The 24,268-nt window shown below is 37.8% G+C and overlaps 1 protein-coding gene across 14 annotated transcripts in view, besides 4 other annotated features; it reads left to right on the top strand.

The window, feature by feature from the left end:
- The window catches only part of NSMCE2 (NSE2 SUMO ligase component of SMC5/6 complex), a 275,261-nt gene that overhangs the window by 114,352 nt on the left and 136,641 nt on the right, over positions 1-24,268 (top strand). The window lies entirely within an intron of this gene.
- Positions 11,404-11,603: an enhancer, noted in NCBI's record as "active region_27906". NCBI's record gives its function as "activates an Ori minimal core promoter by ATAC-STARR-seq in GM12878 lymphoblastoid cells {active_cell/tissue: GM12878}" and the evidence as "EXISTENCE:reporter gene assay evidence [ECO:0000049][PMID:35858748]".
- Positions 11,614-11,843: an enhancer, noted in NCBI's record as "active region_27907". NCBI's record gives its function as "activates an Ori minimal core promoter by ATAC-STARR-seq in GM12878 lymphoblastoid cells {active_cell/tissue: GM12878}" and the evidence as "EXISTENCE:reporter gene assay evidence [ECO:0000049][PMID:35858748]".
- Positions 13,107-13,251: an enhancer, noted in NCBI's record as "145 bp enhancer 31 fragment used in the MPRA reporter construct; PK_construct_77". NCBI's record gives its function as "activates an SV40 promoter by MPRA in HepG2 cells {active_cell/tissue: HepG2}" and the evidence as "EXISTENCE:reporter gene assay evidence [ECO:0000049][PMID:23512712]".
- Positions 13,173-13,186: a transcriptional cis regulatory region, noted in NCBI's record as "HNF1 motif; enhancer activity is reduced when this motif is scrambled". NCBI's record gives its function as "necessary for full MPRA enhancer 31 activity {active_cell/tissue: HepG2}" and the evidence as "EXISTENCE:site-directed mutagenesis evidence [ECO:0005528][PMID:23512712]".

The raw sequence follows: 24,268 nt of genomic DNA on the forward strand, positions 1-24,268 counted from the left end.
GGAACAGCAAATAAAATAATCCAGTTAGATCAGATCATATGTATATGGGAGAAAAGATTACAAGGGTAAGTTGGGACAGATTTATGGAGTTACTTGTTGCCTTGAATAGGACAGTTTGATTAATAAGTAATGGGGAGGGTTACAGGTTTTTCATTAGCTGAGACATCTGATTAGATTTGAACTTTAGGAAAGCAAGTCTGGTTGTGGTATATAGGATAAGTTGGTATGGGAAGAGATCTTGTTACAGGGGTTTAGTCAAGTACTGATGATATGCTGAACTGCCATGGGCTAATTGGAAAGGAGAGAATGAATGCAAGAAGTGTTGTAGAAGTAGTATCTATAGGATTTGTCAAATATTTCAAATAAAGTAGACTTAGGAGAACAAGGAGTTGAAGTTGGCCATGAAGTTTCTAGTTTGGGTAACTGGGAAAATGGTGATACCATCAAAAAGTTGTAGACTGTCTCATGGAAGAACTGGTCTTTAGGTGGGGAAGGTGACTTTCATTAATGTCAAGCGTACTGAATTTAAGGTGCTGGATTTTGGTATAAATCTTCAACAAGTGGTTGGCAGTGAAAACATTTCGTGTAAGACCATGGCTAAAGAGAGGGGGAGAAAGGCTTTTCACTTGCTTCCAGGTGATAGTTGGAGCTCTAGGAGTGAAGGGAAGAGAGAGCCTAGGGAGAAGAAGAAGAGGCAGAGCCAGCAAGGAGTGCTGCAGTGAGGGGAGAAGGACCAAGGGGCTTATGGGCCAAAAAGCATTAAAGGGAGAAAGTTTGTCTTCTTAGTATCATGTTCTTATTTTAGTTGAATTTCCTATTACCAAGGATGCACACATTTCTGAGTCCTAAATAAAATTATTCATACTTTTCATATTCAAAAATTCAAAAACTAAGTTCCATAACCTAGTAAGATTATGGGGGCAGAGGGATGGAATTCACCAGTTTTTTTTTTTCTCTGCTTCTACTTCATTGGTAGTATTGGTTAAGAGTTTTCTTCATAGCTTCTTTTTCCTCTCCCAGAAATTGGTATTTAAAGCAATAAAGAGTAAAGGTCACACCTGACTTCTCTTGTCTAATTTTATAAGCAGGAAACACACTGTGTAGTTTAAAAAAAATTCTCATAGCACATAAAGTGATATAAATGAGGTATACACATTTATTAGATAATATTTTAAAAAATCAGTTCATCCCAAAGCTAGCAATTACTTTTTATTTAGAAATTTTACTTTAATCATAATTTGATTTTTAAGGTATTTTAAAATAAATATTAAACATAAAAGAATGATTTTCAGTGGCTGTAGTTCAAAACTGCTGTGGAATAGAAATTAGTATTGTGACACCATTTAAGTGTCCAGTTTTAAATTAAATGGTGTTGAGTTTCCAGCTCTCTTAGTTTTTATTGTGGAACAAACCACCCCAAAACGTAGTAGCTTAAAATAACCATTTATTTGGCTCGTGACTATTTGGCTTTGTCATTTGGATGGGGTTTAGCTGGGTGAGTCTTCTGCCGGTTAGGAGGGGCTTCCTCACACTGCCAGATTGGCTGGGAGCTTCTGCGCCTAGAATGTCTTCAGCTGTGACAGCTGATCCCTGCTCCATGTGGTTGCAGCCTCCAGCAGATGAGTTCAGATTTGTTCACATGGTAGCAGTGGGTAGGCAAGAGCCTCTAGAGCCGGAGCTGAAGAGCTCTTGAGGCCTGGACTTGGAAATCTCACAGTGTAACTTTTGTCAGACTTTTGGTCAAAGAAATTACAAGGCAGCCCAGATTCTAAGGGTGGGAGAATAGACTCTGCTTCTTGATGGGAGGGTGGTAGAAAATACTGTGGCCAGATTGTCAGTCAGCCATCCAGCTCATATTCATTTGTTCATTTTGAATACTCAAATACGAGTTTTTAACTGCTGAAACATCATTGACTGTATGTGTGTGTGTGTTTCATTCATCCTCTTTTCTCAGTACATTACCCCTGCAAAACAAGGAGGTATTTGAAGTAATCTCACTCTTCTGATTCATCTGTTTGATGAAAGACATGTTTGTTTATTCAGATATTAAAACAACTTGAAAAGAGAGTGTAACATAAATAAAATAAAACTACAGCTGGTTTACCTATACAGTATTTGTTAAGTATCTTTAACTGTCTGTTTTTGCCTGGCACTGGACTAGATGTATAGGAATAGAGAAAAAGAAACATGGGACATAGTCTTTACTTTCAAGAAGTTTATATGCTTATAGCATGGGTAAAATTTATACCCAACAAATAATTTATTAATGTACCAAGGACTATGCTTTAATCAAAGGTAGTACATAGATGGATATGACCTAGTCCTTTTAGTGGAAATAGATATTTAAAATAGTTATAATTCAAAGCATGAGAGAAATATAAACTGAGTGCTGTTGAATTAGAAAAAGAATAGGAGGAGACAAATGATTGAGTGCCAGCGTAAGTGTTTCATACAATTAACACCTGAGAAGGGAGACATCTTTGAAACCAGAGGGTGATGGCTTCATACAGAAAATGAGTCTTGAACAAGACTTTGAAGAAGAGGTAGAATTTGAATAAGTGGAGAGGTAGGAATCCTACTCAATTTAGAATTGAGTTGTTTTCCCAAGAAGGTAATTATCTAATTAGAGTCTTTTCAAGTGGCAAGTATTAAAGAGCATGCAATAACATGACTATAGAAAGACTGTAGAAAACATTATGCTGGGAAGATTGCTGTCAATGTTTTTTTCCTCTCCAATGGTGCCAAGGCTTAATTTTGTTTTCTTTTTCTCTTAAAACTTTTTTAGAGATGGGGTCTTGCTGTGTTGCCCAGGCTGGTCTTGAACTCCTGGGCACAGATGATCCCCTCGTCTCAGTCTCCTGAGTGGCTGGGACTACAGCCATGCACCACTGTGACCAATTTGATTTTCTATCGTCAGCTATTTGTGTACTTTAATTGGAAGACTGAGTAAAGAATGGTTATTTTATAAGGGAAATGCACATTTTGTTTTTATTGAATAGTACTCTGTAGCCATGTATTGATTGAAAAAAAATAGAAACAAATAATGTGTATCTCTGCTGACGAAGAAGTACAACATAGACAAAAGTAAGGAAACCCCCATTGAGTGATGTCAACTGGGTACTTTCTACAAGTATATCTGGCTTTATTTAGGGACTAAACCGGTAGAAATAATTGGGGGAATTTCCTTTCCTAAATTTGACAGGTAAATTTGCTTTTCATACTTTCTGTTTTAGTTGCTTATATTTAAACTATTTTGAGAAGGAGAAGGATCAATTAAAATGTATTTTATTTAGTGCTAATTGAATAGTACCATATTTAAACTTATACCAATTTCCAAAGTACTTGATGTAACTATATATAATTAGTAATAGAATATAGGAATCATGATTTTTATTTTGGTAAATTAAAGGTAGTTTTTCTCTGTTAAAATGGGATTTAAAACACCTTTATGAATGAATCCCTTTATCTAGTTTATCATTGCCTTTCCTATGAAAGTAGTGATACTTGACTAATACTGTCTAACTTAATTGCTACCATGTGGTGAATTCTAGAGAATTCTTTAGGGGAAATTTTTCTACTACATTTATTTTCAATGACAAGAAATTGGGAGAATTTATAATAGCTCTTATCATTTCATGTATTTTAATATCTGGACTATATGTTCGGTCCAAAGAGAATATATCACAGAGTGATCATAAGTTGAAATGAGATAACACATGAAAGTATTTTGTAAACTGCAAAGTCCTATGCAAATAAATGTTAGGTGATACTATTGTTCTGAGATTAGCATTTGTTCTTTCAAGGTCTCTACAGAATAGTCACAGTTCATAGCTTAGACTCTAGATCCACGTGTTCTAAGATCAAGTCTAGGTTCAGCCCCTTACTAGCTCTGTAACCCGGGATAAGTTTCTAAACCTCTCTATACCTCAGTTCCTCTGTCTGTTAAAATGACATAATAATAGTTTACCCACTTCAAAGGATTGTTGTGGAGATTCAATGAATTTATATATGAAAGTCATTTGCAACAGTGTCTTGGCACACAGTAAATGTTATGTGTTAGCTATTCATTACTGTCATTATTACTACATCATGTAGAATAGATAATTGCTTTCTGATATATGCTAATCATGTTTTTCTCTGTGGAATTCTTCCTTTACTCTCCTAGTTTTGCATTTTCCTGAAAGAGAGAGCTCATTGAGGGTGATGACTGAATCTCATCAATTTTTATGTCCTCAGCAGCTTATGATAGACATTCAATAAGTGCATGGATTACATTATACACACATGACCACTTAAGAGAGAAATACATACTATAGAAGAACTGTAGAAAGGGAAGTAGCATTCAGCATCTGCACAATGTTAGTCTCTTTCTCTTTCTGGTCCATCTTACCCTTTTCAGCCTAAAAATTGCCTCATTTTGTTCCTTTTTTTTCTCACCGATCTGGCCTCAAGGGTGCCTTCCCAGTTTTACCTAGCCATCTCTTCCCCAGGTTGATTTCTTTATTTTTTTATTTTTGTTTGAGACAGGGTCTCACTCTGTTGCCAAGGCTGGAGTGCAGTGGCGTGATCTCGGCTCACTGCTCACTGCAACCTCCACCTCTGGGGTTCAAGCGATTCTTATGCCTCAGCCTCCCCAGTAGCTAGGACTACAGGTATGTGCCAATATGCCACTATGCCCGGCTAATTTTTTTTGTATTTTTTGGTAGAGATGAGATTTCACCATGTTGGCCAGGCTGGTCTTGGACCCCTGGCCTCAAGTGATTCACCTGCCTTGGCCTCCCAAAGTGCTAGGATTACAGGTGTGAGCCACCATGCCTGGCCTCCCAGATTGATTTCATTCCCACTACCTTTTGTGGGAAACCTTCATTAACCACTCCTGCCCAAGACAGTCTCTTCTGTTCTATTATACATTTTATATGTGTATGTATAATAACATTATTATATATGTATATTCTCTGCTCTTCTTTAAAGGTTTTATCTTTTTTATTAGGTGATACATGCACATAGTACAAACTTCACAAAGTGCAAAAGACTATGGTGAAAAGTGGGCCTCTGCCTCCCTGGAAACAGTTACTCTTACCAGTTCCTTACATATCCCTGTGGAAATAGTCTCTGTGTTGCACAGCTTGCACATGTGTTTTAATGGTAGCATATTGGATACTCTGTTCTACTTTGCTTTGTTCACATAATATATTTTGAATATTCCATATCAGTACATATAGCACTGCCTCACTTTTTAATGGCTATATAAAATAGTACTATAATTTTTAACCAGTCACCTGATGGTGGGCTTAGTAGTTATTCTGTGGCTGTTACCAACATCACTGCCATGTGCACTGGTACACATACAGAAGTCCACACAAGTAGGCCTGTATCTGTAAGGTAAATACTGGTGGGATTACTGAGTCAAAGGAGACGTGAATTTTTAGATTTTTACTATGAAAGACAAACTGCTCTTTATGGGGATTTTATTAATCTACAACCCCATCAACAATGTATGAGAGCCCATTTTTCACACACTTGCCAACTCAGTAGGTTATTAAACCTTTTGGTCTCTGCCACTTGTATATCCCAGATCAACTTCTAATTCTGCTTCATATTGTTTGCTATCCTTTAGAATATTTCTGTCCCACCTCCCTTCATTACAGTAGCTCTTTGCAATCTTAGATAATCTTATATTTTCATTGACTTTATATTCCTTAACTTCCAGGAGAGTTCTAGTTTCTGATATTCTGTTCCATTGGCATGTACTTGTCAGACCAGGTATCCTCATTTACTTACATGTCATAGTGCTCTGTAAACGTTTATGGATTGATTAGCCTAAGTGGGCAAAGTCCATCTGTCTCTATAATTTTGAATAAGAGAGAGCCATTGCTTCCTAAATATTTTTTATTAGTTTCTGCCTTTGTGTTAATTAGTGTAATTAACATTGTCAGTATCTGTTGCTACACGTGTGAATCTCAGTGTTCAAACTCAGGCTCTTTGCTACCGACTTTTACCTTGTTAGCAAGGCGAACACATATTCATTTAAAGGTATCAATAAGATTTTATGACCTGTTTTCTGGTAGCCCAGGATAGAGTCTTTCTGGGTTCACTCTGCAGAGCTGGGTGAGTTAGGTGGGAAGAATCTCAAAAAAGATGCCATTCTGGGGTAATAGGGGAAGCTCAGGGACTTGGTTGAGTTTAAAGTATGACCTCCTAGAGCTGAGGCAGTGAGAGCCCGGTATGTGCAGGAGGCTTTGTTCATGGCCAGACTATTGTGGGAGCCTCTTGAACAACAAGGTGAAAAGAGCAAAATGGGCAAGGAAGTTGTGAGCCAGGCTGAGGTTTGAGTGGAGGGTTCAGGTACGTGTTCAGTACCAAACCGTTGGAAGTCATTGCCAGAGTATTAATTAAATTGACACTTTAAATAGTTTCTAAATTAGGGATGGTTGATCAGATGAAGAGACATGGTGGGCCAGAAAGCACTGACTTGGATAATCTAAATAATTTATTAAGATAACATTTTTTAAATGTAGGATAGGATCAGTTCACTGTATACAGTTGCACAGTTTGTTATGTACTACATAAAAGCACCTCACTAAGGAGGCAGAGGGTGACTAGATTTCAGCCCGGGTTCTAATCACCGAGGCATGTACCTGGTATGCCTGGAGGAAAGTGTACCTTTTTCTGATTCATCTGCTAATTCAAATATTTGGGGTAGGCAAGTAGAGGCCTTGTTCTCTTTGTCTTATATGTTGTAGACTTAATGTGAAGAATATCCTCTAATCTGTTAAAAAAATCAATATGTAATAATATTTTCTGATCCAAAAATTATATTGAGCAGTAAATGATGATTGGCTACCATTTAATTCTCTTTTATAAAATGAGAATAGGGAAAAAGAAAAAAAGAAATTAAGTATTTGGCTTTGAAAGAGTCGACCTGTATGAAAAAGAAATGTTGAACATTTGTACCCTTTTTTCTTTTTAAGCTTTTATTCTCTGTTGTGAGATTTTCCCCTTTGAGGACACTGAAAGCAAAATGAATCGTGCCATTGGAAAATGCCCTGTAGATCTTCATGGGGTTATCTGTAGCCAGCAGCGTACAGGAAACTAGTCACATTATTAATTGCATTCTCTCTTGGCCAAAGGTTTAGCTGTTTTAAAATGTGATTTCACTGCCCATATTGCTCATATGCCTAAGCTTCTTTGTTACTTTAGTAAATATATGTTTGTGTGGAGTGATTTAGCTCAAATTTAGTGTATTAAATGGTAGTCTACCTAAGGCACCCATGTCTCCTCTCCTCTCCTCTCCTCTCCTCTCCTCTCCTCTCCTCTCCTCTCCTCTCCCCTCCACTCCCCTCCCCCTTTCCCCTCCCCCTCCCCTCTTTCCTTTCTTCTCCTCTTTCCTTTCCTTTCCTCTTCTCTTATTTTCTCTTTCTCTTTTTATTTCTCTCTTTCTCTGTTTCTCTCTCTTTCTCTCTTTCTCTCTCTCTTTCTTTCTCTTTCCCTCCCTCCCTTCCTTCCTTCCTTATTTCCTTCCTTCCTTCCTTCCTTCAACTGTACAGAGACCTGGAGGTCGCCAGGCTACCCATTCTGAAATGTGAGTTTTGTTTGGCTCACACAGTGTTGGGATTTGTTGGGTTTCAAATGTGTTTAGGTAAGAGTTGTGCCTTTCTATTAGTCACTATTCTGACCATTCCCTTTTGTTTTATATCTGATCCACTTCAACTGTCTTTCCTGCTGGCATTCCAGTTTGTAATTCTTACTTTATATCTGGATACTCTGTGAACACAGAATTAAGGCAGGAAATTAGAAGGTAGAATAAAATCTGCTTTTAAGAAGCAGTTTACATTAAACAAATAACTTTTATTTATAGTGTTAATAAATGTTTTCAAATATTATAATTGTATCCCAATATCATTCCCCTAAGTACTCTTCCCATTTAATTGCTATTAGGCTGGGCTGTGCCTTCCAGCAAGATAAATACCAGGTTGGTAGGCAAAATTAGGGAACTGTATCAAGGTTTAGAATACCAAGGGTCAATAGCAGGCCAGTCGTTGGAAGGCAGAATATACACAAACAGTAAGGTCAAGACAAGTCATAAGTCAGAGCAAGCTGGACAGACTAGGGAATAGCAGTAGCATCCAAGGCCCATGGGAGTAGGAACATCAGGTCCAAGCCTCTAAGACCAGGAAATCCATGAGCATTAAAGGAATGAGATCAGAATTGGCAGGCAAGGAGGCTGAGTCATGGGGGCTCACGGTCTCAACAAGGAAATGGGTCACTGGCGGGGTCAGTACAGGACCCTACGTGAAAGAAAGGAGTTTGCCACAGACCAACCCCTTTTGCCTCTGCTTAGAATTTTTTAAAATTAATAGACTTTATTTTTTAGACCGTTTTTAGGTTAACAGAATGGAACAGATAGTGCAGAGAGTTCCCAGATACCACCTTCTCCCCCAATCCCCTACACACCAGTTTCCCCTATTTTCCTATTTTTAATATTGTACATTTGAATGATATATTTGTTGCAATTGATGAACCAATATTGATACACTATTATTGAGTTAAGCCCATTTTTTACATTAGGTTTATGCTGTGTATATTTTTATGGGGTGGGTGTTCGTGTATTAACATTTATATTACATAAAACTTACTATTTTGACCATTTTAGGTGTGCTGCTCAGTGAGATTAGGTACGTTCACACTGATGTGCAACCATCACCATTAGCCACCTCCAGAACTTTTTCAGTAACCCTGATGGAAACTGTACCCATTAAACAGTAATTCCCCATGTCCCTACCCTCACCTTTGGTAACCACTTTATTTTATTTTATTTTATTTTATTTTATTTATTATTATTATTATACTTTAAGTTTTAGGGAACATGTGCACAATGTGCAGGTTAGTTACATATGTATACATGTGCCATGCTGGTGCGCTGCACCCACTAACTCGTCATCTAGCATTAGTTATATCTCCCAGTGCTATCCCTCCCCCCTCCCCCTACCCCACAACAGTCCCCAGAGTGTGATGTTCCCCTTCCTGTGTCCATGTGTTCTCATTGTTCAATTCCCACCTATGAGTGAGAATATGCGGTGTTTGGTTTTTTGTTCTTGCGATAGTTTACTGAGAATGATGATTTCCAATTTCATCCATGTCCCTACAAAGGACATGAACTCATCATTTTTTATGGCTGCATAGTATTCCATGGTGTATATATGCCACATTTTCTTAATCCAGTCTATCATTGTTGGACATTTGGGTTGGTTCCAAGTCTTTGCTATTGTGAATAATGCTGCAATAAACATACGTGTGCATGGGTCTTTATAGCAGCATGATTTATAGTCCTTTGGGTATATACCCAGTAATGGGATGGCTGGGTCAAATGGTATTTCTAGTTCTAGATCCCTGAGGAATCGCCTATGTCCTGAATGGTAATGCCTAGGTTTTCTTCTAGGGTTTTTATGGTTTTAGGTCTAACGTTTAAGTCTTTAATCCATCTTGAATTGATTTTTGTATAAGGTGTAAGGAAGGGATCCAGTTTCAGCTTTCTACATATGGGTAGCCAGTTTTCCCAGCACCATTTATTAAATCGGGTTCTATCTCTATGTATTTGACTATTCTGGGTACCTCATGTAAGTGGCATTGTACAATATTTGTGCGTTTATCACTTGAACCCAGGAGTTCAACACCAGCTTGGGCAACATAACGAGACCCTGTCTCTACAAGAATTGTGTGTTGGCACACACCTATTGTCCTAGTTACTTGGGATCACTTGAGCCTAGGAGGTCTTGGCTGCAGTGAGCCATGATTGTGCCACTGCACTCCAGCCTGGGCAGTAGAGCAAGACTATATCTGTCTCTTAAAACAAACAAACAAAAAATTGTCCTTTTGTGTCTGGCATATTTCACTTCCCACAGTGGCTTTAATGTTCACCTATGTTGTAGCATGTATTACTATTTCATTCTCTTTTAAGGCTGAATATTCCATTGTATGTACCACATTTTGTTGATCCACTTATCTGTCAATGGACATTTGCGTTTTCACCTTTTGGATATAATGCTGCTGTGAGCATCAGTGTACATGTATCTGTTTGAGTTTCTGCTTTCAGTTCTTTTTTGTGTATATATCAGAAGTGGAATAGCTGAATCAAATGATCTGTGGGTCCGGGCGCGATGGCTCATGCCTGTAATCCCAGCACTTTGGAAGGCCGAGGCAGGCAGATTACCTGAGGTCAGGAGTTCAAGACCAGCCTGACCAACATGGAGAAACCCGCTTTCTACTAAAAATACAAACTTAGCTGGGTGTGGTGGCACATGCCTGTAATCCCAGCTACGTACTGAGGCAGGAGAATTGCTTGAACCTGGGAGGCGGAGGTTGCGGTGATCCGAGATTGCACCATTGCACTCCAGCCTGGGCAACAAGAGCGAGGCTGTGTGTCAAAAAAAAAAAAAAAATGGTCTATGGGTTTTGGGCAAATGCACAATGTCATGTGTCCACTATACAGAATAGTTTCACTGTCTGAAAAATCTCCTGCTTCAACCATTCTTCACTCTCTCACCTTTGCCTCTGCTTAGGTTTTAATGTTCTTTTTGTAGACATTTAAATACTGTTTATACTCCAACCTGGAATTTTCGGGTAAAGACGAGTTAGTGAAATCAGTGATCAAGGGAAAGTAAGATGTTCTGGTAAATTATTTATAGTCCCTTAGGCTTTGAGATTTTGAAAGTTACTTACACAGTTAGCGTACAGGTAACAAACAGAGCTTTAGAATGCATTGGCTTCAAATAGGATGATTTGTGTGGATGCAGTTATATATTGCATCCATTTATTCCACAAAGATTTATTAAGCACCTATACTATATGCCAAGCCCTGTGCTAGATGCTTTCAATAGGAAATAAAGATTCCATAAGATAAGTTAGACTATTTTAGGAGTTTCCACCTTTTTACCACCAAGCTACCCCTTTGATAGTTGTTCCCTAGGAGGCATGTGTTTTGAAAGATCCTGTCTATTACATATTATGCTTGTGCTAGGCTTTCTCAGAATATTGAAAATAGCTTTTGAATCTCCACTGTAATTTTCAGGGAGTCCTAGAGGTCTAGAGATCTTCATAAGAAAACTGATCACTTTTTTAAAAAATTTTATTTATTTATTTATTTATTTATTTTTTATTTATTTATTTTGAGATGGAGTCTTGCTGTGTCACCCAGGCTGAAGTGCAGTGGCATGATCTCAGCTCACTGCAAGCTCTGCCTCCCAGGTTCATGCCATTCTCCTGTCTCAGCCTCCCGAGTAGCTGGGACTACGGGCACCTACCGCCACACATGGCTAATTTTGTTTTTTTGTATTTTTAATAGAGACAGGGTTTCACTGTGTTAGCCAGGATGGTCTGTATCTCCTGACCTCGTGATCCACCTGCCTTGGCCTCCCAAAGTGCTGGGATTACAGGCGTGAGCCACCGCGCCTGGCCCTGATCACTTTTTAAATTCAGAGCATGAGTCTTCGATTAGGCTGGTTTGTGTGACTGTCACTGTGCTCAGTCCTGTTATTACAGCTGTGCTGAGGTACTTAGTGTGGCTGTTTTCCAGACTTGACTTGCTCAAATTACCATTTCTCTATCTTCTCCAGTTGCTTGCTGACCCAGCCTTTTCCACTATACTTAGTGGCAGTGACCATCTAAATATGAAAAAAAAAAAAACCAAAACAAAAACCGTTGTACTAGGATAGAAAATAAAGAGACAAGAAGGGCAAGAAGGCTCAGGTATTTGTGGTCATTAAAGCAGAAGTCTCTACGCTATTTTAATTGTTACTGTCATATGAGCCTCCTGATAATTTGTTTATTCGTGTTTGTACATATTCTGCATAATATCAGTATGTGCATTATTAGTGAAACCTAATTTTTCTCCTTTTTAAAATAAAAGTTAATTATAAATAGAAGTTCTGAGATTTTGCATGTACTCTGAGCTGCATGCATCCCACTTTAGAAACCTGTACTGAGAAAGCAGACTGATATTTTTTACTGACCAAAATACTAACCACCATGTCTACTGTAGCTTAGATTATTCTACAGATAATGCTGAGGATTCTGACATACAAACAGACAGGTAGGTTTAATTAGGGAAAAGTTCTAGAAGCAATTCCCCAAGTCACTGTGCTATTCAAATATAAAAACTCCACATGCATTTGGGATAAAAATAGCATATTCTGAAAAATTGAGGGTTTTTTTTTTTTTTTGAGACAGAGTCTTGCTCTGTCGCTCAGACTGGAGTGCAGTGGCACGATCTTGGCTCACTGCAACCTCCGCATCTTGGGTTCAAGCAATTCTCATGCCTCAGCCTCCCGAGTAGCTGTGATTACAGGCACCTGCCACCATGCCTAGCTAATTTTTGTATTTTTAGTAGACGTGGGGTTTCGCCATGTTGGCCAGGCTGGTCTTGAACTCCTGACCTCAGGTGATCCACCCGCCTCAGCCTTCCAAAGTGCTAGGATTATAGGTGTGAGCCACTGCGCCCGGCCAAAAGTTGAGATTTGTAAAAAATAAATTAGTATAGAGAGTTTCAGTTTTACTAGATAAAGTTTTAGAGATCTGTTTCGCAACAACATGAATAAACTTGACACTAATGAACCATACATTTAAAAATGGTTAAGGTGTTAAATTTTATGTTACGTGTTTTAAACACAATAAAACAATCAGTTAGATATTGGTGATTTATCCCCTGTAACCAATATTTTAACATCTACTATATAAGGACTCCATTTGGTCTCTGCAGACCAAATTTTCTGCAGTTTTTGCTAGGTACTTTAAGCATTTTAGTCCCCTGTGGTTACATTATCAGAAAAATGTGAGTGCTTGTGATTCTTAATATAGAGCCAGATAAAATCCCTGAACACCAGTCCACTAAATCTACTTTAATGGGATAAACTTTTAAATGAACCATTAATAATATACTCCACATATTTGCTATTTGGGGTCTGGGGAGGCAGATAGACAGAAAGAGATGGAAGAAAAGCCTGAGTTGACTTTCGTACTTTCAGTGTTCCAAAGCCTGGATATAAATGAAAGATGAGCATTTCTACTTAATTTATCTGGCTGGATTCCTGTGCCTAATGGCTGCATATATACCATAAACACTGTGAAGAAGCAACCATGGAAACACTTGTTTTCTTGTTGGGCTAAATTTACTCTGGATTGAATATTAACACAGTGCCTGGCAGTACTTTAAAAGCAAAAATAGCTTAAGTGTGATTCACTCTGAGTCATTTACTGCTGCTGCTGCTGCTGCTATACTGCCTAGAGCTTGACATTGAACAAGTTGGCAGCCTGTATTGCTACATTTTTTCTAGGAACTCTGAACACATTTCATTCTTGTGAATTCGCTTGTGCAACGATATTAAATAGAGTAATATGTTTATTTTGTTTCAAAGTCAAATGAATTTGAGAATGGTGAAACTGAATTATTTTTCTTGGGCTTTCTGGAAAAGCTAGATTCTCAGAATTCTCCCGTGGTTATAAGACTTACTCTATTTTATAAAGAATTAATAAAATGTCACTGAAGTTTTGTTTTAGACACTTTGGGCTTCGCTGATTGAAAACACCACACCAACTGAAAAATCACTGTGAAAAAGAACCTGGTAGTACTGTCAATATCAAGTAGGATTCATTAATTTTCTGACATTACTGGACAAGATGGTTCGTGCCATTCAGAAAGCTCTTTTTCTTTCTTCTTCTTTCCTAATACAGTGAGGCATACAACGTAGCCTGCCTTATGGTTAAGTTGGGTGTATGACTTGTAAACTTCCCTCTTGCTATTAAAGATTATATAATGGGAAGTTCATTGGTTTTGAAAGGCAGACCAAACCCACCCATGGGATTTCTATTGGCTTTTTAGATGTATTGCATTTCTCTGAGTAAACCCATGTGGCTGAGAAATAGTGAGTAGCTTGTTGGCTGACTGTGGGAAAACCTATGAAGGATCAGTTGATCTCATTTGGGCAGGAGTCAGAAATGGCTGAGAATCTAAAACTATATATATGAGGATGGTTTTCTCTTGATGTTGCAATCTTTATTTTAACATGTTTTTGTGTTTAGCTTCTGGAGTTGCCTAACAGTATAATTTCAAATGAGGTTTAGTTTCAGCTGTTTAATTTTAAACTGTAGGGAACATGATTAAAAAAAAATTAAGGCATTATCATTTGCCTTAGAATTTTAATGGTTTGTATAGAAAGAGTTTTCCTGTGACAACCTAAAACAAAAATGAGCCTAACCTAATTCTTGATATTATTTGTTTTACCATAAAATTCTTACATTAGAACATGTAACTCTGTCAGAGAATTTCAACATAGTTGCATAAATTGTGTTTCATATTACAACTTGTTCTCTGCTTGACTTCATTGAAAGTAATAAAATGACTCTTTCAGAAGGATCTGGTGAGTTAACATCATTATTTAAAAAAAAAAAAAAGTAAAGAACTTACTCATAATGTATCCTGTGTTGCTAAGTTTTCAAAGTTAGCTATCTCAGCCACACCCAAAAGCCCTTTCAGAAGATTGAAATCCACTTATTCATTTATGCTGGCTTAGAATTTTCTTCCTAGTAAGATCTGAGATCGATATAAATTTTCCATGAAATATATGATGAATGCAAGAAAAACTAACATTTGGAATTTGAGTTGCTGCCAAGTCTTGTGTGTAATATATAGTTCTTTATTCTGTGGTTAAAGAGATTTCTTATAGCAGGGCTTTCTCTAACTTGGGCCCTGTGTGTGCTAAAAATATCTCGAAGGTATTTTTTATGTTCCAAAGGGATACTATCACCCTTCCTCAGAGCTAGAATATAGGATACCAGTCCTGCAGTAGCATTCCCCATATCATGGTCATACCCACCCTCTACTGCTACATTTCCAAGGCATATAAATGAGTTTTTCATATGGCTTGAAAATTAGCTCAACAAAGTTTAAATAACCAACCATGTCAGGTTGTAAACTAAAGGGGATAGTCTAAATGAGTCTCAGCATAGCCCAGTACCCACTGTGTTATTAATGCCTTTACATAGATGTATCTCTTTTATTGAGACAAGATCTCACTTTGTCACCCATGCTGAAGTGCAGTGACGCAATCATGGCTCACTTCAGCCTCAACTTCCCTCACTCAGGTGATCCTCCCACCTCAGACCTGAGTAGCTGGGATTACAGTTGTGTACCACCATGCCTGGCTAAGTTTTGTATTTTTTGTAGACACAGGGTTTTGCCATGTTGCCCAGGCTGGTCTTGAACTCCTGGGCTCAAGCAGTCCACCTGCCTCAGCTTCCCAAAGTTCTGGGATTACAGGCATGAGCCACTGTGCCCAGCCAGATGTGTCTTATCCATAGACATATTATAGGTTGCGTATCACTTACGTGAAATGCTTGAAACCAAAAAGTGTTTCAGACTTCAGGTTTTGGAATATTTGTATATACATAATGAAATATATTAGGGATAAGACCCAAGCCTAAATGCAGCATTCATTTATGTTTCATATGTAGCTTACACACATAGCCTGAAGGTAATTTTATACAATGTTTTTAATAATGTCGTGCATGAAACAAAGTTTTGACTGCATTTTGACTGCAACTAGGTGTGGAATTTTCCACATGTGGCAATGTGTCAGTATTCAGAAAGTTTTGGATTTTGAAGCATTTCAGATTTTGGGATTAAGGATGTTCAACCTATAAATGAGATGATGTGAAAGTCTTCACACAGGGCCTAGCATAAAGTAGACACTCAATAAAAAAGCTCATTAAATCAGAATTTATATTATAAATATTCACCTTATTTGGCCTGGAAGTTTTCTTTCTTTCTTTTTATTTATATGTATACTCATTTGTCAAACTTGTATTATATGCCAGAAACTATAGGATATTTGAGACAAATTAATAAACCTTCAAGAATTACATTCTTAACTTGAAAAAGCAGGCATGCAAATTACTAAATATATTAATCATATGCTTTTTAAAAAGATTAGGTATAAGGATGTCATTGCCTTAAAGTAGGAACGATTTTTTAAAATTTTTTAATTGAGAAATAATAATTATATATATTTATGGAATACAGCGTGTTTTGATATATGTATACCTTGCAGAATAATTAAATCAAGTTAATTGACATATCTGTCACCTCATTTCCTTTTTTGTGGTGAAAACTTTTGAAATCTCCTCTAAGTAATTTTGAAGTATACAAATACATTATTAATAATGTGATTTTCGTGCTGTGCAATAGATCACTAAAACTTACTCCTCCCGTCTAACTGAAACATTGTAGTTTGGCCAACATCTCCACATTTTCCCAACCCCTTCCCCCTTCCCCCAACCTCTGGTAACCACCATGCTATTCTCAAAGTCTATGAATTAGCCTGTTTTAGATTCCACGTGTAAGTGAGATCATACAGTATTGGTCTTTATGTGCCTGGCTTATTTCACCTAGCATAGTGCCCTCCAGGTTCATCCATGTTGTTGCAAATGACAGAATTTCTTTTTAAAGGCTAGCTAGTATTCCATTGTATATGTATATACCACATTTTTTAAATCTGTTCATCGATGAGAGACTCTTAGAGGCGGGGTGCAGTGGCACGACCTGTAATCCCAGCTCTTTGGGAGGCTGAGGTGGGTGGATTGCTTGAGCTCCGGAGTTCAAGACCAGCCTAGGCAACACGGCAAAACCCTGTCCCTACAAAAGGAAAAGAAATAGCCAGGTGTGGTGGTGTGTGCCTGTATTCCCAGCTACCCAGGAGGCTGAGGTGGGAGGATCGTTTGAGCCCTGAAGGTCAAGGCTGTGGTGAGCCAAGATTATGCCAGTGCACTCCAGCCTGGGCAACAGAGTGAGACCCTGTCTCAAAAATAAAATAAAATAAAATAAAATAAGCACGGTGGCTCACACCTGTAATACCAGCACTTTGAGAGGCTGAGGCAGGCAGCTCAGGAGTTTGAGACCAACCTGAGCAACATGGTGAAATCCCATCTGTACAAAAAATACAAAAAAATTAGCCAGACATGGTGGTACACACCTGTGGTCCCAGCTACTTGGCAGGCTGAGGTAGGAGGATTGCTTGAACCCCAGAAGCAGAGGTTGCTATGAGTCAAGATTGCACCACTGCACTCCAGCCTGGGCAACAGAGCAAGACCCTGTCCCAACAAAATCAAAAATAAAATAAAATAAAAGTAGACACTCAGGTTGCTTCCATATCTTGACTATTGCGAATAATGCTGCAGTGAACGTGGGAGTGCAGAAATCTCTTTGACATACCAATTTCATTTCATTTGTATGTATACCCAGAAGTGGGATCATATGGTAGCTCTATTTGTAGTTTTTTGAGGAACTTCCATACTGTTTTTCATAATAGCTGTAGTAATTTACATTCCCACGAACAATGTACCAGGGTTGCCTTTTCTCCACATCCAAACCAATACTTGTCTTTTGTCTTTTTGCTAATAGCCATTCTAACAGATGTGAAGTGATTATCTCTTCGTGATTTTAATTTGCATTTCCCAGGTGTCTGGAGAAGTTGAGCATTTTTTCCATATATTTCTTGGCCACTTATGTGTCTTTCTTTTGAGAAATGTGTGTTCAGGTCCTTTGCCTTTTTTTTTTTTTTTTTTTTTTTGAGTCAGGGTCTTGCGCTGTCACGCAGGCTGGAGTATAGTGGCGCAATCATAGCTCCACTATGCAGCCTTGATGCAGAAATCATGCAGCCTTGATCTTCCTGGTTCAAGAGATTCTCCCACTGTAGCCTCCCTGGTAGCTGGGACTACAGGCACACAAAACCATGCCTGGCTAATTTTTTTAAATTTTTAGTAGAGAGGAGGTCTGGCTGTTTTCAGGCTGGTCTTAAACTGCTGGGCTCAAGCAGTCCTCTTGCCTCAGCCTCCCAAAGTGCTGGGATTACAGGCATAAGCCACCATGCCCAGTCCTTTGCCCATTTTAAAATCAGGTTATTTGTTTTCTTGCTATTTAGTTGTTTGAGTTCCTTATGTATTTTGGATGTTAGCTCATTATCACATGTATGCTTCGCAAATTTCCTCCCAACCCGTGAATTGTCTTTTCATTCTGTTGTTTCCTTTACTATGCAGAAGCGTTTTAGTTTGATGCAATCCATTTGTCTATTTTTTTTATTGCCTGTGCTGTTGGGGTCATATTTAGGAAATTATTGCTCAGCCCAATGTCGTGGAGCTATTCCTAGTTTTCTTCAAGTAGTTTTACAGTTTCAGGTCTTAAATACTTAAGTCTTTAATCCATTTTGAGTTCATTTTTGCATATATTGTGAGTTAACAGTCTAATTTCATTCTTCTGCATGTGTATCTACAGTTTTCCCAACATTATTTATTGAAGAGATGTTCTTTCCCCATTGTGTGCTCTTGGCACATTTGTCAAAAATCAGTTGAACATAAATTCATAGATTTATTTCTGGGCTTTCTATTCTGTTCCAGTGGTTGGTGAGTGGTAACAATTTTAACTAATATCGACTGTTGACCTTTGAGTACTTCCTATGTACCCAGCTCTATTTAAGGTGCAATAAGGTAGGTAGATAGTGTTATCCCCATTTTACAGAGGAGGATATTGAGGCTCATAAGAGGTTGAGCAATTTGCCAAACTTTATATTTACAATTCAAACTCAGGAAATCAAGCTGCAGAGTCCATGCCCTTTACTATTACGTAAACTGCCTCTTGTTGATTGACTTTATTGAGGAAAAAGAAAAAATCTTAGAAGTTGGAGGAAATGGGAAGTCAGTACAGCAATGATAATGTGATCTGTTTTGTAGGACATTAGATTTTTTCAAATTAGTGATTATTTTGGAGTACTTTTGCTAAAGTCTGTGTTTCTAAAACAAAGTGCCTTCATCCAGTGGGCTAAATCTGAGAATAATTTATCACATATTTGGCATATCTTTCTTAGGCTATATGTGCTAATCCCTAACATGAGCTGAGTTTGAGAACTTAATGTTTTTACATATTACCTCAGAGACTGAAATCAGTTCTTAAACCAGTATTGGGTTTTGCCATTCAGAGAGGCACTGTGGGGCCATGCCAAGAAACAAATTAGCTAAAAGTAAGGCTTTCCTTCAGTCGACAGCAGTGGGTCTCCTTTCATCTTGTGGCTCTTTTAAGCTCTCTAACAACCTCTTTCTGTCCTTTCGACTCCATTCACCTCAAACCCAACAGTTCTTTTTTGTAGTCAACACTGCTAAATAGTTATTCAGAGCCCTGCAGCTCTCATTTCATTCTTGGCTTTGTCTAAGTTCCTGAGAGAGCTGCAAAAAGAGGTTGAAGAAGTGAAAATCATCAGCTCACCCTGTTTGCATATCCTGCAGTTTGCCAGCACCCCCTGAGAAAGTTCAAAGTCTAAGGGTACAGTGAGCAGAGAAGCCTCTCCAGGGAGATTCCCAATAGCTTGTTTGTTTCACATTGTGCTCTGGGGTATATTTGTTTTTATTCAGGAAGGTATTGCCTTTTTATTTCTTGATATATTTTATAAGAAAATGTTTTCTCTTAACATGAGAGCAAATTATACTTATTTGCTGAACAAAGCAAAGCTATCTGCAAGGACATTTTAGTTTTCACTTCAAGCATCATTGCTTTTGGCAATTGTAGACAAATTATCGTACTGTTTGATGAGGTGTAAAATAACACGCTTTAACTGGAGAATGAACACATTTCCAGATACAATATTATCGTTCTCTTCTTTTTCAAGTAATAATTTCCAAAAGATGAATTTTAATGGACTTTTTGCCATTTAACCAAAGTGAATCCTTGAGTCTCTGAAGTTGCCCCCACTTAGCACCTGCGTATATAACACTTAACAATTATTTACACTTTTGATTAAATTCAACCTTTATGTCTGTTTGCAAAAAAGAATACATACAATTTTCTTCACAAAAACCCCAGTGTCAGACATTTTGTTTTGATCTTTTTCTTGGCATATTAAACTGACATTGGGCACCAAGATGATGAATTATGGAAATACTGCATTCCTCCCAGAGGGCCTCATGACTTTAACTAAATATTCTCATGGCCCAGTCATTGTGTAGATTTGCTTTTAAACATGTCCAGTCTTGGCATTTTAAAATAACATTTTAGAAATTCACCAGGAAAGGAAGGTGACCGTACAGTTATCAGATGATAAATTCTAATCATGGGACATTCGCGTGGGTCGTTTGTAATTGAAGACAGTGCATCCTTTGTAACTGAAGCTAGTGCAAATGAGGACAGGAGTGGAGGGACAGAAAGCGGAGAGGTGTACAGCTGCTCTTCTTGCACTGTACCCCTCATATCTGCAGCCGGGATCAGTCAAGATCTCATTCGTGATGCTTGGGTGCCTTGGGGGCTTGGGAAGCCAGCTCAGGCCTTGTGATCCACTCGGATTAGTGTTGTCTGGGGTTCTCACTTTCTGACTCCTGGAGGACGAAACGCCACTTGTCTGAGAGGGAGTGGGAGTGATTCTTGAGAATGAAAACATGATTTGGGTAGTGAAGAGGTGGAGAGGAGAGGCAGAGGGGATGTGGAAAAGAGGTAGAAGCAGGGAAGTAAGCATGAATAAAGAGTAAATTGGGCAGGGAGAACAAGGAGGAAGACACTTTCTTCCCCTTACTCCTCCCTGTTTGACAGTCTGGCTATTTCTGCTTTCTCCCTTAGTTTCCTCTTTTCTCTCCCCGTTTCATGGCACTGCTCTCCAAAACTTGTTCTGGCAACCCTCTGCCTCATCTTTTTGTGTCCTTCCCCAACCCCTATCTCCACCCACCAGCCCAGTTCACTTCCTTTAGTTGCCCCAGCCCCCTTTGCCTAGGGACTCACCAGTGAGTGCCACATTCACAGCCATGTCTGGTGCAGTCTGAAACACCTGAGGCCACTCAGGGTCTGTATTAGAATTAACCTTTACTAACAGGTTTAACCAGACTTTTCAGGTTCCTTTTAAGTCAGAATGAACCCCTGCCTTGACCTTGCCCATCCTCAAATTGGGGGGCAGCCTCCAGATCCACAAGACATGAGAAGCAGGAGCAGGCCTGCCACGTCCCTGACATGGCAGTAGAGATTTTATGAATGGTAGCTCGGTGTCTCCATCAGTGGTAGCTGATGGTAGCTTAGTGTCTCCATCAGTCCTTCAGATAGCAGTGAGAAGATGTGGGCAACAGCAGTGTCCCTGACTTGTCAGTAGCGTGACTGCAGCTCAGAGAGCAAGTCATGCCAACCAGGGCCTTCCCCTCCAGAGCCACTGCTTTGCTGCCTTACCGAATAACGAATCAAATGTTTCTTTCCTTTACTTTCTGTTTAGAATTAAGGACAACTTTTATTAGCATCTTTGTCTAAGCTATAGCATTAACTCCCAGTTTTTAATTACATCATCTTAATTGCAAATGTATTGCAATTCATATTAAAAATCAGGAAGCCTTGTACTTTGCTAATAAACTCTGGTGTTTGCAAATCTGATTAAGCTCTAATTAGAATTCCTTTATATTCAATCTGTTTCGAATTACTTTTCTGACTATAAAAATGTGTATATTGTAAAAGATTCAGGTAATATAGAGGGCAAAATAAAAATCACCTGTAATCCCGTTACCCAGAGATAACCACATAATAACATTTTGTGGTTTCTTTTAGTCTTTTTTTTCTGTAAACTATATATTCGCAAAACTGAGATCAGTTTAGTGTCATTTTTTTAGTCAGTATAGTGTGAGCTCATTAAATATTTGAAAAACATGATTTTAAATTGATTTCTAATATTTCATGTTATGCATGTGCCATTGATTTATTCCTCTTTGAATCATTACCCTCTATTACTGTTACATGCACTGGTTGTCTTTCAGTGGATAGCAGTTGATATTGTCAATTTTTAAAGTCAGTTTGATAGTTAAAAAATAGTATCTTATACTATGTATTGAGTCTTAACTATCAAAATTGCCTAATTTTTAGATCATTTCTTGTTACTTTTATTTATGAATTATAAAGATTAAATAAAATTATGGTATATTTTTCAGGTAAAAATTATTTCAAAAGTTGAAATAAGTGGTGTTTGTTTTGGTAAAATTTTACTTCTTTCTAAAGTGTTTTGATGCATTTATTCATTCAGTCAGCAGATATTTATTCAATTCCTTCCAGTACAAGGTGTTAATTGGTTAGAATAAAAGAAGAAAAGTATGCTTTCTGCCTTCTAGAAGCTTACAATTCAGTGATGGTAACATATGTAAATATGTGATAATGTAACACAAAGAAATAAATATTAAAATAAAGCTGCAAGCTGGGTGCTGAGAAAACACAAAAGGAAAGTGATGAATTTTGACCAGCAGAATCAAGGGAAGACTTCCTGGAAGAGCTGACATTTGAGCTGAGCCTTGAAGCATGGATTTAATTTCACTGGGGAAGGCAGTACAGGGCATTTGAGGCTGAGAGTATAGTACATTCAGAGCCAAAGAGGGCTGAGAGCATATGTCATATTTGAGAAAAGTGAATGTCCCAGAGAGTCTGGTGTGTTACATGCCATATGGTGGTCAAGTGTAAAGGGGGTAAGGCAGAGAGTGGTTGTAGCCAGTGAACCTACAGCAAGATAATCAATTCATACGTGCCTGGCTCTGTGCTAAGCTCCTTCTCATAAGTAGCTTAGCTCATTGAATTCACGTTACAATCCTGTGAACTATGTATGTGGCCACTCACAGACGGAAGTAGAAACTCAGAAAGCCTGAGTGATTCCCTCTAAGTTACAAAGCTTATAAGAGACAGAACCAGTCCTGAAGTCCATTCCTTTTTTCACTATACCAGATTGAGGTAAGATGATAGCCTTGAAAACTGTTAGGGTGTTGGGACTATTTTGTATGTGTTGCTGTTTGTTTGTGTGTTTATTTTTATTCAGTGCTAGCATATGATTAATGAAGATACTTCTAGTGGTAGAATGAAGGATGATGAGTCAGAAAAAAATGTTGCAGGAAGCAAGACAAGATAGAAGACCACAACAGAAGTCCAAGCAAGACATGGAGAACCTGAACTACTGCAGTGATAATGGAAATGGGAAAGAAAAGAGAGATGCAAGAGACTGGGAGAAATAATCTAAGCACTTAGTAGATCGATGAACTGAAAGCAGTGAAGGCAACCTATGTTACATTAGATTCGTAGTCTCAACTTTTTTTTAAATCACACATCCTTAATAGTAAAATATTTTTGAGCATGTATCCCATACAAAATTTTTAATATTTTAACCTCCTTTCCAGTGGATTTTCTTGTGACCCATTTTAGAGAGCACTGGAATTATTTAAGAATAATGAGGGAAGGGATTGCCAGGAAGAAAGGGTGGAAGAGAATCTGAGTTTGGTTTGGGTCATACTGAGTTTAAGATAGCTAAAGAAGTACCGACATTTGAAGATGCTTCATACAAAGTTGGAAGTGGTATTAAAGATTTTAGGAAATAAAATGACACCAAGCTTATGTTCTAGATGAAATTCAGTCTTATTCTCAAAATAGAGTCTGGTTTCCCCAGTTCTACTTTGTGTATAAGGATAATTATGGATTAAAAAGCCAGGAGTCTGTTTTATATTATTTTTAGCTACATATCTTTAGTTGATTGTTTTAGTGTTTTATTATTTGATAGATGATAAATGATGACTTATCATTTGATAAATTTTTAAAATGTTTAATTTTATTTTACCTTTATTTTATAGAATTTTTGAGGGAAGAAATACTTAGGATTGTTAACTGTAGAATAAACCATATAGTCTCAGACAGAAGCATTAATTATATATTTTAAAAATTTAATTTTCAAGATCTGTAAATATTTAGTTGAGAATCAAATGATAAAACACTAAAACGATTTTAGTTTTAATTTTGAAAATGTTAAAGAAAACTCTTAAAATAGATCTTTTGTGTAGCATATAACACAAATATCTTTTTGAAAACCTTGCAGATTGTATGTAGTTCATTGACTTATTCAGATTTCTTTGGAACATTCAGAGTTATCAAGCCTAAACGTGTCTTCCAGACAAAGAGATTCATCCAGATATCAGATATCTTTACAAAAGGCTCATGCTTTTCAGTAACTTTTTCAAAATGTCATTCTTATTTCCTCCTGGCCAACCCTCTCTTACTGAACTAATACCCTATAAAGCCTTACCCAGAACCCTTTCAATTTAACAAGGCCCTACAATTGTATGATTAAAGACACAAGGGCTGATTGGTGTTTTGGGTTTGGTTCAATTTCATTTGATTTCAATTAAGAATATGATTTTTTAAAAACCTTCAGCCACCAAAATCATTATTGATGTTCAAAGCGTGAAC

Source organism: Homo sapiens, chromosome 8 (assembly GCF_000001405.40).
Source record: "Homo sapiens chromosome 8, GRCh38.p14 Primary Assembly".
Taxonomy (NCBI): Eukaryota; Metazoa; Chordata; class Mammalia; order Primates; family Hominidae; genus Homo; species Homo sapiens.